The 14,593-nt window shown below is 39.6% G+C and overlaps 1 protein-coding gene across 3 annotated transcripts in view; it reads left to right on the forward strand.

Moving 5' to 3' along the window:
- Positions 1-14,593, forward strand: part of NFATC3 (nuclear factor of activated T cells 3) — a 143,890-nt gene that overhangs the window by 35,008 nt on the left and 94,289 nt on the right. For all 3 annotated transcript variants that reach the window (NM_004555.4, NM_173163.3, NM_173165.3), the window contains exons 2-3: positions 1,610-2,744; positions 6,071-6,233. In NM_004555.4, coding sequence (NP_004546.1) covers positions 1,610-2,744; positions 6,071-6,233 — 1,298 coding nt within the window. The remainder of the gene's footprint in view (positions 1-1,609; positions 2,745-6,070; positions 6,234-14,593) is intronic.

Here is a 14,593-nt window from a genome sequence, read left to right on the forward strand (position 1 = left end):
GACCAGCCTGGACAACATGGCAAAACCCTGTCTCTACTAAAAATAACAAAAATTAGCCGAGTGTCATGGCAGGCACCTGTAATTCCAGCTACTTGGGAGGCTGAGGCTTGAGAATCGCCTGAACTTCGGAGGCAGAGGTTGCAGTGAGCCAAGATCGCACCACTGCATTCAAGCCAGAGAGAGACTCTGTCTCAGAAAAAAAAAAAAAAAAAAAAATTAGCTAGGCATGGTGGCGAGTGCCTGTAGTCCCAGCTACTCAGGAGACTGAGACAGGAGGCAGGAGAATTGCTTGAATCCAGGAGGCAAGATTGCGCCACAGCACTCCAGCCTGGGCGACAGAGCAAGACTCCATCTCAAACAAACAAACAAACAAACAAAGAAAAACCCACTTTTGGAACTCTCCTACCTTTGACTACTTGTTATGTTGGATAATATATACAGGTTGATAATGCAGGTTGTTATGTTGGATAATATATACAGGTCATATTCAAAATCTGGAATGTTCCAATATCCTATACTTTTTAGCTCTGACATGATGCCACAAGTGGAGAATTCTTAACACAGACTTTTTTTCATTCACCGAATTATTAAAAAATATTGTCCAAAATTACCTTTCAGGCTATGTGAATAAGGTATATATGAAACATAAGTGTATTTCATGTTTAGACTTGGGTCCCATATCAAGATATCTCATTGTGTATTTGTAAATGGGCCAAAAAAAAAAAATCCAAAATCCCAAGCACTTCTGGCCTCAAGCATTTTGGATAAGGGATATTCAGCCTGTGTCCCCTCCCCCTTTTTCAGCTACATTGAGTTGGATTTTCTGTTCTTTGCAGCCTAGGAATATCTCATTTCTTTTCTTTTCTTTTTTTTTTTTTTTTTTTTTTGAGACGGAGTCTTGCTGTGTCACCCAGGCTGGAGTACAGTGGCGTGATCTGAGCTCACTGCAGCCTGTATGCTATGAGTATTTTTTAGAATTATGGATGTGTTTTTTTTTTTTTAATAAACACATTTATTGAGCTGGGCACAGACGCTCCCTCACACCTGTAATCCCAGCACTTTGGGAGGCTAAGGTGGGAGGATAGCTTGAGCCCAGCCTTGGCAACAAAGCAAGGCCCTGTGTCTACCAAAAATGACAATAAAAAGTAACCAGGAGTGTGGCATGTACCTGTGTCCCAGCTACTCCAGAGGCTGAGGAAAGGATCACTTGAGCCTAGGATGGGAGGTTGAGGCTTTAGTGAGCTATGATCACACCATTGCACTCCAGTCTAGGTGAGAGAGTGAGACCCTGTCTCAAAAAAAAAAAAAAAAAATCTTTTTCAGGGCATAATGTTTCCTGATTATCTTTTTAGAAAATGTGGACATAAAAAGGAAAAATTACATATGTAATTGTATATGTAATAATCACACATATCTGCAGAAATAACCAGATGCATTGAAAAAACACACACATGCCACTTCTTTAGTGGAGCTAATGACATACATTTTATATCCCACTTTTTTCTCTCGAGATTGTTATTATTTACTTTCTCATCTAGTAATTTATACATCTGAGTTTTCTAATTTCTTGTTTTGTTGGGTTTTTTTTTTTTTGCCTTCCTCCCCGTAGATCTTGAGCCAGATGATTGTGCATCCATTTACATCTTTAATGTAGATCCACCTCCATCTACTTTAACCACACCACTTTGCTTACCACATCATGGATTACCGTCTCACTCTTCTGTTTTGTCACCATCGTTTCAGCTCCAAAGTCACAAAAACTATGAAGGAACTTGTGAGATTCCTGAATCTAAATATAGCCCATTAGGTGGTCCCAAACCCTTTGAGTGCCCAAGTATTCAAATTACATCTATCTCTCCTAACTGTCATCAAGAATTAGATGCACATGAAGATGACCTACAGATAAATGACCCAGAACGGGAATTTTTGGAAAGGCCTTCTAGAGATCATCTCTATCTTCCTCTTGAGCCATCCTACCGGGAGTCTTCTCTTAGTCCTAGTCCTGCCAGCAGCATCTCTTCTAGGAGTTGGTTCTCTGATGCATCTTCTTGTGAATCGCTTTCACATATTTATGATGATGTGGACTCAGAGTTGAATGAAGCTGCAGCCCGATTTACCCTTGGATCCCCTCTGACTTCTCCTGGTGGCTCTCCAGGGGGCTGCCCTGGAGAAGAAACTTGGCATCAACAGTATGGACTTGGACACTCATTATCACCCAGGCAATCTCCTTGCCACTCTCCTAGATCCAGTGTCACTGATGAGAATTGGCTGAGCCCCAGGCCAGCCTCAGGACCCTCATCAAGGCCCACATCCCCCTGTGGGAAACGGAGGCACTCCAGTGCTGAAGTTTGTTATGCTGGGTCCCTTTCACCCCATCACTCACCTGTTCCTTCACCTGGTCACTCCCCCAGGGGAAGTGTGACAGAAGATACGTGGCTCAATGCTTCTGTCCATGGTGGGTCAGGCCTTGGCCCTGCAGTTTTTCCATTTCAGTACTGTGTAGAGACTGACATCCCTCTCAAAACAAGGAAAACTTCTGAAGATCAAGCTGCCATACTACCAGGAAAATTAGAGCTGTGTTCAGATGACCAAGGGAGTTTATCACCAGCCCGGGAGACTTCAATAGATGATGGCCTTGGATCTCAGTATCCTTTAAAGAAAGATTCATGTGGTGATCAGTTTCTTTCAGTTCCTTCACCCTTTACCTGGAGCAAACCAAAGCCTGGCCACACCCCTATATTTCGGTGAGTTGATGGAAATGGCTGCTGGTCATTTTTCATGTTTATGGGTCATTGGTGGCATATAACTACATTATCAGTATATAATGGTTATATAATGGTTTGACCATTTCTCCTCTTCCTATTTTTAAAAAAAATTTTACCAAATAACTTAATGTTTATTTTCATTTGCATCTTAAAAGTATTTTTAGATAGGTTAAATATAATTTTAAAATATATAGCTAATGAATTGTTGATAATAATAAATTACATTTAAAAATCCTTGCTAGGTTTGGAGGCTTATGCTTTGTATTCCCAACACTTGGGAGGCTGAGGCAGGAGGATTGCTTGAGCCCAGGAGTTTGAGACTAGCCTGGGCAACATAGCAAGATCCTGTCTCTACAAAAAAAAAAAAAAAAAAATTAACCAGGCATAGTGATGTCTGCCTGTAGTCCTAGCTGCTTGGGAGGCTGAGGTGGAAGGATTGCTTGAGCCCAGAACTTCAAGGCTGCAGTGAAACATGATTATGCCATTGTACTCCATCCTGTTTCTACCAAAAAAAAAAAGTTTATTGTACAACTTGGATTATAATATGAATTTAATTACTAAGAAAACTATTTGGGGGCCAGGCGTGGTGTCTCATGCCTGTAATCCCAACACTTTGGGAGGCCGTTGAGCCCCAGAGTTCAAGACCAGCCTGGGTGACATGGCAAAACCGTGTCTCTACAAAAAATACAAAAATTAGCCAGGTGTGGTGGCACACACCTATAGTCCCAGGTACTAGGGAGGCTGAGGCGGGAGCATTGCCTGAGATGGGAGATGGAGGCTGCAGTGAGCTGAGATTATGCCACTGCACTGCAGCCTGGGTGAAAGCAAGACCCTGTCTGCACCACCCCCCTACAAAAAAAAAAAGAACCTATTAATTACATTTACAGAATCAATCTAGTCTATAACTGATTAGAAAAGACAACTTTTATGTATTAAATTCCCACATGGAGTTGTGCCTGTTAGGATTTTTGTTTTGTTTTTTGAGACAGCATCTTGTTGCCCAGACTGGAGTGCAGTGGGGTAATCATAGCTCACTGCAGGTTCGACCTCCCAAGCTCAAGCAATCCTTATACCTCAGGCTCCTGAGTGGCTGGGACTATAGGCGTATACCACCACACTCAATTATTTAAAAAAATTTTTTTTGTTTTTTTTGGTAGAGATGGGGTCTTGCTTTGTTGCTTAGGCTGATCTCACTCCTGGCCTCAAGTGATCCTCCTGCCTCAGTTTGCAAAGTGCCAGGATTACAGGCAGGAGCCACTGTGCCCGGCCAGGGGTTTTTCTTTTCTTTCTTTTTTTTTTTTTTTTTAAGAGATGGAGTCTCGCTCTGTTGCCCAGGCTGGAGTGCAATGGCGCGATCTCGGCTTACTGCAAGCTCCGCCTCCTGGGTTCACCTACCATTCTCCTGCCTCAGCCTTCTGAGTAGCTGGGACTACAGGCGTCCGGCACCACGCCCGGCTAATTTTTGTATTTTTAGTAGAGACGGGGTTTCACCGTGTTAGCCAGGATGGTCTCCATCTCCTGACCTCGTGATCCTCCCACCTCGGCCTCCCAAAGTGCTGGGATTACAGGCGTGAGCCACCGCACCCACCCGGCCTTCTCTTTTTTTTGAGACGGAATCTCACTGTCGCCCAGGCTCAAGTGCAGTGGCATGATCTCAGCTCACTGCCATCTCCGCCTTCCAGGTTAAGCAATTCTCCTGCCTCAGCCTCCCGAGTAGCTGGGATTCCAGGCACCTGCCACCACGCCTGGCTAATTTTTTTGTATTTTTAGTAGAGAATGGGTTTCACCATGTTGGCCAGGCTGGTCTTGAACTCCTGACCTCAGGTGATCTGCCCGCCTCGGCCTCCCAAAGTGCTGGGATTACAGGCGTGAGCCACTGCGCCCGGCCAATGCTTTTTTCATTAGTGTGAATCTTTATTTCTCAATCCTGATCTTTAGAAAAATAGAATTATGGTAATGAAGACACCTTTGAACCCATCCCTTTGCTTCTGAAATTTATCTTAATTTTTCTAGTGGTTTGCTTAAGGCTGCAAAACAAATACAGAAGTAACTGAGAGTTGAAGTTGGATTTTTTCAAACTAATAAAAATTAATATCCTTGAATTCACAGGAGTAGGACTTAAAGCTAGGCTGAGGACATGGAAGGAAACAATGAAATAATTTAGAAATTGTACTTGACCTGTAGACATACGAAGTTTTTCTTTTATAATCCATGTTTTAATATATCAAAATGATCCTTTGGGCCTTTAAGCAATTTAAATTGTCTTACTGATAAAGTAAAAAAGTAACATTTAGAGTTGCTGGAGTGACGGGTTGTTTTCCAACCAAGCATGTACCAAAATTAAATTTTTACTTCAAATTGCAGTATATTGCTGAATGGAAGCAGTTTTTCAGAGAGACAGGGAAAGGCGCAGTAGGAAGGAAGTAGGGAAAGGAGCAATAGGGAGGAAGTGCGGGAAGTGATAACTTCAGTAGGCTGACATCCAGAGATATGTACCAGGGAGGGAGATAGACATCCTGACACAGAGAGAGATGTTTGGATATGTGGAGAGATACAGATATACATAAACAGAAATGTGCCTCTTTGTTTTAAAAAAATCAAATTATTATTTTTTGGTTATTTTTGTTAAGTTCATACACATAGTTGAGAAAAATTTACAGTTTTATAAATTATAAGAATTTGTCTTTTTCAAAAAAATATGGGAAACCAAAATGAAGATAAGATAGATTTTTAAATTTTATTTTATTTTATTATTATTATTATTTTTTGAGACAGAGTCTCGCTCTTTTGGCCAGGCTGGAGTGCAGTGGCGCAATCTTGGCTCATTGCAGCCTCCGTCTCCTGGGCTCAAGCATTTCTGCCTCCTTAGCCTCCCTAGTAGCTGGGATTACAGGTGAGTGCCACCATGCCCAGCTAATTTTAGTAGAGATGGGGTTTCACCATGCTAGCAAGGCTGGTCTCGAACTCCTGACCTCAGGTAATCTGCCCACCTCGGCCTCCCAAAGTGCTAGGATTACAGGCATGAGCCACCGCACCTGGCCTTTATTTTTATTTTCTAAAATTTATTTATCTTTAAGCATGTACCACCTTTGGGAAATAAAATAGATTTTATTCTAAAGATGAAATAATTATTTATTAAGCACTCACCATAACCAGAATTGTAACTTACTAAATGAAGTTTTATTTTGTAATACATTGTTTCAAAGATCAAAGGAAGAAATGTTGGTGCTGGCAAAGAAGCCATTTGAATCATTGCTTGGCAATAATAGCATGGTGACATGCATCTTTGTGTGTTTTGTTTGTAGCACATCTTCATTACCTCCACTAGACTGGCCTTTACCAGCTCATTTTGGACAATGTGAACTGAAAATAGAAGTGCAACCTAAAACTCATCATCGAGCCCATTATGAAACTGAAGGTAGCCGAGGGGCAGTAAAAGCATCTACTGGGGGACATCCTGTTGTGAAGGTATGAGACTTTTGGGGCTTGTTTTGCAGATACCATACACCTAGTGATGATTAGACAAGTCTATTCAGTTAGGTACTAGAGAGTGCAAAGAGCATAAACTCAAAACTAGAGAGCCTCTGTTGTTTTGGGGGCTTGTTGATGTGACTACACTTGTGCATTGAGTTATATTTGCTAGGCTAAAAGATGTTCTTTCTGGACTGACTTTCCTTCTGGGGAGACTCTGGAGAAAGATTACAGTGGCCAAATAGCCGTTTTTCTGACAAACAAATATGGCCGTATTATATTTATGAATAAAATATATGCTCATTTAAAATTTAATACAGGCCGGGCACGGTGGCTCACGCTTGTAATCCCAGCACTTGGGGAGGCCGAGGCAGGTGGATCACTAGCTCAGGAGTTCGAGACCAGCCTGGCCAACACAGTGAAATCCCGTCTCTACTAAAAATACAAAAATGAGCAGGGCGTGGTGGCGGGCACCTGTAATCCCAGCTCTGCGGCAGGCTGAGGCAGGAGAATTGCTTGAACCCGGGAGGCAGAGGTTGCAGTGAGCCAAGATCGTGTCGCTGCACTCCAGCCTGGGTGACAGAACTAGACTCTGTCTCTAAATAAATAAATAAGTAAAATTTAATCAGAAAAATAGGAAGGATAAGCAACAAATTACCCAAAATCTAACCCTCTCAGAAATAAGCAGTGTTAACATTTGATTAACATTCCAGATAACTCTCTGTGTGTATATTTAGTGGAAGACTGAATGGATAGCTAGAAAAATGAATGGATTTTTTTAAGGAAAGAATTTTTTAAGGAAAGAGATTACATCTGTAATCCCAGCACTTTGTGATGCTGAGGCAAGTGGATCACTTGAGCCCAGGAATTTGAAGCCAGCCTGGACAATATAGTGAGACCAAGCCTCTACAAAAAAATACAAAAATTAACTGGGCATGGTGGTGTGTGCCTATAGTCCCAGCCATTCCAGAGGCTAAGATGGGAAGATCAATTGAACCTGGGAGGTTGAGGCTGTAGTGAGCTATGATCATGCCACTGCAGTCCAGCCTGGGGAACAGAATGAGACCCTGTCTCAAAAAAAAAAAAAAAGGAATTCCTAAAATATCTTTCTAAGGTCAAAAAAAGAGATTAAATACATTATTGAGAGATGAAGTTATTGTTTCAGATTTAGATGGCATAGATTGACTTCTACTCTGAAAAGTAAAGTAATTGTCTGTCTTAAACTTCCTTCCCCTTTTCTACTCTTTACCTCCTGAATTTTCTTGCTTATGCTATTTTTCCTTTCAAATTTACATCCTCCCTAACTTCTCCCCCAATTATTTAGCCTTAGTTCTATTTCTAGTTAGATTCAATGCTCACTACTACTACTTTTTTATTTCATTAAGTTTTTTTTTGTTTTTATGTAAGGAGGGCTTTGGATTCTATGTTCCATGGGTTCTTTCATGTTTGAAAATGTGTTTGTTGCCTTTATATACTAAAATATAGAAATGGCTGTAGATGATAATCTCTTAGAACTGTGTAGATATTTTTCTCTCGTCTTAATGGTATTTATTGAATACTGTAGTGGAAAAACTAATTACACTGAAGTGATTTTCAACAAATAAAATCTACAAATTATCATCTCTTTTATGAGCTATGCTTTATGATTATTATCTGATCATGTTTTATAGTTCTTTACGTATAAAGATTTACATTTTAGATGGGTTTTTTTAATGATTTGTTATTAAGAAACGCCAGGAAAACAAAACATAAGAATTTTGTCATTTTGTTTGTAAGAGTCATATTTTTTTGTTAAATGAATTTATTTCATTTTGATAAAGTAAGCAGATTTATTGCTTAGTTTTCTATATCTTTTAGTTTTCATAGCAATCAACAAATTATTTACAAGTGTATAAATGAACAAGTCTTTTGGGAGGGTACATGATTTGTTTCCACAGTTTTCCTTTAATGAAAAAACCGATGCATGTGCTGTGGTCAAAAGAAAAAAACAACGTTAAAAAACATAATTAAAAAAAATAATTTTAAAAGATTAAAAAAACAAAAACAAAAACTGAGCCAGGAACAATGGTGTGTGCTTGTAGTCCCAGCTACTGGGGAGGCTGAGGCTTAAGGATCGCTTGAGGCCAGGAATTCAGGGCTGTGGTGTATGATGATTGTGGCTGTAAATAGCCACTGCACTCTAGCCTGGGCAACATGTCTCTTTAAAAAACAAAAGCAGAACTGGTGCTGTAGCTCATGCCTGTAATCCAGGTGACATGGTGGGCTGGGATGCTAGGTGAGAGGATTGCTTGAGGCCAGGAGTTTGAGACTGGGCAACAAATAAATAAATAAAATTAGCTGGACATTGTGGCACACCCTTGTAGTCCCAGCTACTCCAGAGGCTGAGGCAGTAGGATTGCTGGAGCCGGGAGTTTGAGGCTGCTGTGAGCTACGATTGTGCCACTGCACTCCAGCCTGGGCAACAGAGACCAACCCAGTTTCTACAAAAAATTTGAAAAATAGCCAAGTACAATAAGTAGCATGCGCCTGTAGTCCCAGCTCTTTCAGAAGCTGAAGTGGAAGGATCATTTGAGCCCAGGAATTTGAGGCTGCAGTGAGCTATGATCACACCACTGCACTCCAGCTTGGGTGACAGAGCAAGGCACTTCTCAAAAACAAAGACAAAACAGCTGAGTCTCTCGTTAAGGGGAGACTACAACTTCTGGTACCAGCAGTTTTTATTTTCTTCTTGTAAATGACTTTTTGTTTTCTAACTTACTGATTGAAGAATTATTTCATTATACTTGAAATAGTTGACTTAACCAGAGTATGTCTGAATGTTAACAGTTCTTTATCAGTCTTTCCCAGTACTTTTGATGCTCCCTTTCAATCTGAGATTCTTTCTTGCTTCATGCCAGAAAAATGTATATATTTCCTTTCCCATATATTTTGTTGTTTACTTAAGTGACTCTAATTATTACTCAAATGTTGGCTTATCTTAGGTCTTGTTATGTTGCCCAGGCTGTTCTTGAACCCTTGGCCTCAAATGATCCTCCCACCTTGCCCGCTGCTCCCCGCCTTTTTTTTTTTTTTTTTTTTTTAAGAGCTAGGCTCTTGCTCTGTCACCTAGGCTGGAATTCAGTGGCATGATCATACCTAACTGCAGTCTCAAACTCCTAGGATCAGGGCATTCTCCTGCCTCAGCCTCCCGAGTAGCTGGGACTGCAGATGCATGCCACTGCATCTGGCTAATTTTTTAATGTATTTGTGGAGACAGTCTTGATTTGTTGCCCGGGCTGGTCTCAAAACTCCTGGCTTCAAGTGATCCTCCTGCCTTGGCCTCCCAAAGTACTGGGATTATAGGTGTGAGCTGCCAGGCCTGGCTGATTTCTCTCTTTTCTTGTGGTGGGATAGTATTCAATTGTGTATATATACCACATTTTAGAAATCCATTCATCCACTGACGAACACTTATTTTGGTTCCATATCTTGGCCGTTATGAATAATGCTGAAAGAAACATAGGAGCACAAATATCTTTTTAATCTACTGATTTCATTTCTTTTGGATATATACCCTGTAGTGGAATTGCTGGATCATATGGTAGTTCTGTTTTTAATTTTTTGAGTAACCTCCATACTGTTTTCTGTAATGGCTATACTCACTCACATTTCCATAACAGTGTGCCAGTGTTCCCTTTTCTCCTTATCCCAGCCAGAATTTTCCTTTTTTTGCATTTTGATAAGTAGCCATGCTAACCGGAGTGATATTATATCTCATTGTGGTTTTGATTTGCATTTCCCTGATGATTAGTGATGTTGAGCATTTTTTTATATACCTGTTTGCCATTTGTATGTCTCCTTTTGAGAAATGTCATTTTAGATCCTTTGCCCACTTTTTAGATTATTTGGGGTTTTTTTGGCTGTTGAGTTGTTTGAGTACCTTGTACATTCTTAGTATTAATCCTTTGTTGGATGAATAGTTTGAAGATATTTTCTCCCATTCTACGGGTTGTCTCCTCATTCTGTTATTTCCTTTGCTGTACAGAAGCTATTTAGTTGATAGAGTTCTATTTCTCTGTTTTTATTGGCTGTGATTTTGTAGAATTACTCATAAAATCTTTGCTTAGATCAGCGTTATGGAGCTTTCCCCCTGTGTTTTCTTCTAGTAGTTTTTTAGTTTTGGATCTTAAATTTAAGTCTTTAATCCATTTTGAGTTGATTTTTTTGTATATGATGAAAGATGGGTTTCTAATTTCATTCTTCTGCGTGTGGATATCCAGTGTTCCCAGCATAGTTATTGAAGAGGATATCCTTTCCCCAATGTATGTTCTTATTAGCACCTTTGTCGAAAATGAGTTAGCTGTAAATACAGGAATTTATTTCTGTGCCCTCTATTCTGTCACATGAGTCTGTGTGTCTGTTTTTATATCAATACTGTGCTGTTCTTGTTACTGTCATTTTGTAATGTATTTTGAAGTCAAGTAGTGTAATGCCTCGGGTTTTGTTCTTTTTGTTCAGTTAAGCTTTGGCTCTTTGGGGTCTTTGGTGGTTCAATTTAAATTTTAAGATTGTTTTTTCTATTTCTATGAAGAATGTCCTTGGTATTTTGACAGAGATTGCATTGAATCTGTAGAATGTGTTTGGTAGTGCTTATTGATACATTCTTATACAACAACAACTTTTTTTGTTTGTTTTTGTTTTTTGAGACAGAGTCTCACTCTGTTACACCAGCTGGAGTACAGCGGTGTGATATTGGCTCACTGCAGCCTCTGCCTTCCGGGTTCAGGTGATTCTTCTGCCTCAGCCTCCTGAGTAGCTGGGATTACAGGCACGCACTACCATGCCTGGCTAATTTTTTGTATTATAGTAGAGACAGGGTTTTACCATGTTGTCCAGGCTGGTCTCGAACTCCTGACCTCAAGTGATCCACCCACCTCGGCCTCCCAGAGTGCTGGGATTAGAGGCGTGAGCCACTGTGCCTGGCCAACAAAACTTTTAAAAGACAAAACAAAATTTTAAAAGAAACAAGCCAGCAGATACCAAGCACAATCAAGGTACTTTTTTTTTTTTTTTTAAGTAGAAACAGGGTCTCGCTATATTGCCCAGTTTGGTCTTGAACTCCTGGAGTCAAGCATTCGTCTTGCCTCAGTCTTCCAAAGTGCTGGGATTACAGGTCTGAGCCACTGCACCTGGCCTAAACATACCACATTTATATGTGAGGCTCAGACCAGTCTGGAATAACTGATGCCTTTCTCTCTCTCTCTGAGAATTTAAAATCCTCAGAATAGTGGAGAAATCTACCAACTCTTCTCAATTGCTGGAGAAGAACCACCTCTGTTAATGGGAAAAAATGTCGTCTCAGAAGTGGGCATATACTGGTATAGTGTTCCATACATTGCACAACTCTGCAAATATGTTGGAATATAGAGAATCAGGTATCACTTCCACTTTCCCTTTTAAATGACGTGCTCTCATGTGTACTGCTTATTTTTCTCTCAATATTAGAAAAATAGCTTTTAGATAGAGAGTAAAATGAAGTAGTATCACAATCTTCCCCCAATAATTAACAAAATAAACAAAATGTATGTGTGTGTAGGATGTGAGGAAACAGCCAAAAATCTATGGGTAACACCCAAACAAGCAAAAAAGAACACAAACTTTGATCTATAAACTTCAAAGAGTGGTGATAGAGGATGGAGGGTGGGGTAGGGTGAGGACTGTGTAATAGAAGAGATTCTGGTATAGTATATAGCAGAGCTGCTAACCCACACATACTTTCATCCATCAGGAAGAGTAATAAGTCAAGGAAAAACCCTCAAGAATAAAAGAATAAAAGATCCTTTACACTGCTAGTGGGAATGTAAATTAGTATAGCCATGATGGAAAACAGTCTAAAGGTTGCTCAAAAAATTTAAAAATAGAACTACCATGTGATCCAGCAGTTCCACTGTTGGGAATTCATCCATAGAAGAGGAAATCAGTATACTGAAGAGATCACAGTAGCCAAGATATGGAATCAACCTAAATGTCCATCAGCTGATGAATGAATAAAGAAAATGTGACATATATGCACAATACAATACTATTCAGGCATAAAAAAGAATGAAATCCTGCCATTTGTGGCAACATGGATGAACCTGGAGGACATTATATTAAATGAAATAAGTCAGGCACAGAAAGATAAATACTGCATGTTTTCACTTATATGAAGGGGCTAAAAAATTTGAGCTCATAGAAATAGAATTTTCGTTATCAGAGGCTGAGAAAGGATTGAGGGAAGTAAGGATGGGGAGAAGTTGGTCAATGGATACAAAATTACAGCTAGAGGGGAAGAATAAGACTTGTATTATGTAGCACTGTAGGGTGAATATAGTTAATAAAAATTTATTGTGGCGGGGCGCAGTGGCTCACACCTGTAATCCCAGCACTTTGGGAGGCTGAGGCAGGTAGATCACTTGAGGTCAGGAGTTCGAGAACAGCCTGGCCAACATGGTGAAACCCTGTGTCTATTAAAAATACAAAAATTAACTGGGCGTGGTGGCACATGCCTGTAATCTCAGCTACTCAGGAGGCTGAGGCAGGAGAATCACATGAACCCGTGGGTGGAGGTTGCAGTGAGCTGAGATTGCGCCACTGCACTCCAGCCTGGGCAGCAGAGTGAGACTCTGTCTAAAAATAAAATTATGTGTATGTTCACAAAGCTAGAAAGGATTTTGAATGTTAACATAAATGATAAATGTTTGAGGTGATATCTTAACCTGATTTGATTATTATACATTATATACATGTATCAAAATATCACTATTTACTCCGCAAATATGTATAATTATTACATGTCAACTAAAAAGAGGAACAAATATATCAATAAAGTATACAAACCTTAAGTTGTACAACGCAATGAATATTTAACACGCAAGTATAAATACTCATAAAAATACCACACAGGTTAACATGTAGAATATTTTAAGCACTTCATGAGTCTCCCTTGTACCCCTTCCCAGTTTATACCCCCAACCGAAGATAATCATGCTTCTCAATTCTCATCATCATATATTAGTTTTCTTATTTCTGCATTTTATATAAATGGATGTCCTGCTTTGTATCTAACATCATGTATTCAACATTATGATTGTGGGATTCATCAAATTTTTGTTGTTTATTTTTTTCATTGCTTTGTGTTATTCTAGTGTATGAATTTGCAAGTGTTTCTTTATCTGTTATCTTTTCATGGACATTTGATTTGTGTCCAGTGTTGGACAATATGTATAAAGCTGCTTTGTGCCCTTTTTTTTAAAAAAAAAAAAAATGACTTTCGATGGACAAAGCATTCACTTACTTGGGTATATGTCTGGGAGTGTAGTTACTGATTTTCCAAAGTGGCTGTGCCAATTTATACTCCCAATCAGCCATATATAAAAGTTCTTATTCCTCCACATTGTCACCAAGTGTTACACTTGTTAGTCTTTTAATTTTAACTATTATTGTAAAGATATAATGGTATCTGGCTGTGGTTTTAATTTGTGATTTCTTGATTACCAATGATATTGAACATCTTAACATATTTATTGGACATTTGGATATCTTTCATGAAGTGTTTGTTCACATCTTTTGAACTTTTTGTGATAGTGGCACAATCACGACCCATTGCAACCTCAAACTCATGGGCTCAAGCGATCTTCCCACCTTGGCCTCCCAAGTATCTGGCACTACAGGCATGTACCACCACGCTTGGCTAATTTTTTAAATCTTTCTTTTAGACAGGGCCTCGCTATGTTACCCAGGCCCAGTGTCTGCCACTTGCTTGTTTTCTTGTCTGAAACTCTTGGCTTCAAGTGATTGATCCTCCCACCTCAGCCTCCCAAAATGCTGGAATTACAGACGTGAGCCACTGTGCCCAGCCAGCTCATCTTCGAATAATAACAGTTTTACTTCTTCCTTCTTAATTTTTATACTTTTTCCCCCCTTTTTCTTGCTTCATTGTATTGACTAGGATTTCTGATACATTGTTGATTAGAGGTGGTGATGGAGGACATCCTTGTCTTTTTCCCAAACTCAGGGCAAAAAAGGATTCATAGTTGTGCCATTAAGTAATTTGCTAGGGTTTGTTTTGGGGTTTTTTTGGGGGGATGGGGGATACCTTTTATCAGACTAAGGATATTCTTTTATTCTAATTTGTTGGGAGGTTTCTATTTTTGTTTTTTGAATTCATGAATAGGTGTTGAGTGTTGTCAACTGCTTTTCTTGCAGACTTGTTTTCTATTTTAAGAATACAAGAAGCAAACCATGCAGCCAGTGTCTGCCACTTGCATGTTTTCTGTAATGTGGTAACTTAATATTAAAGTAAAATAGAGATAATGTTCTTTTATTATTAAATTGGA

Source organism: Homo sapiens, chromosome 16, assembly GCF_000001405.40.
Source record: "Homo sapiens chromosome 16, GRCh38.p14 Primary Assembly".
In the NCBI taxonomy this organism is placed as follows: domain Eukaryota; kingdom Metazoa; phylum Chordata; class Mammalia; order Primates; family Hominidae; genus Homo; species Homo sapiens.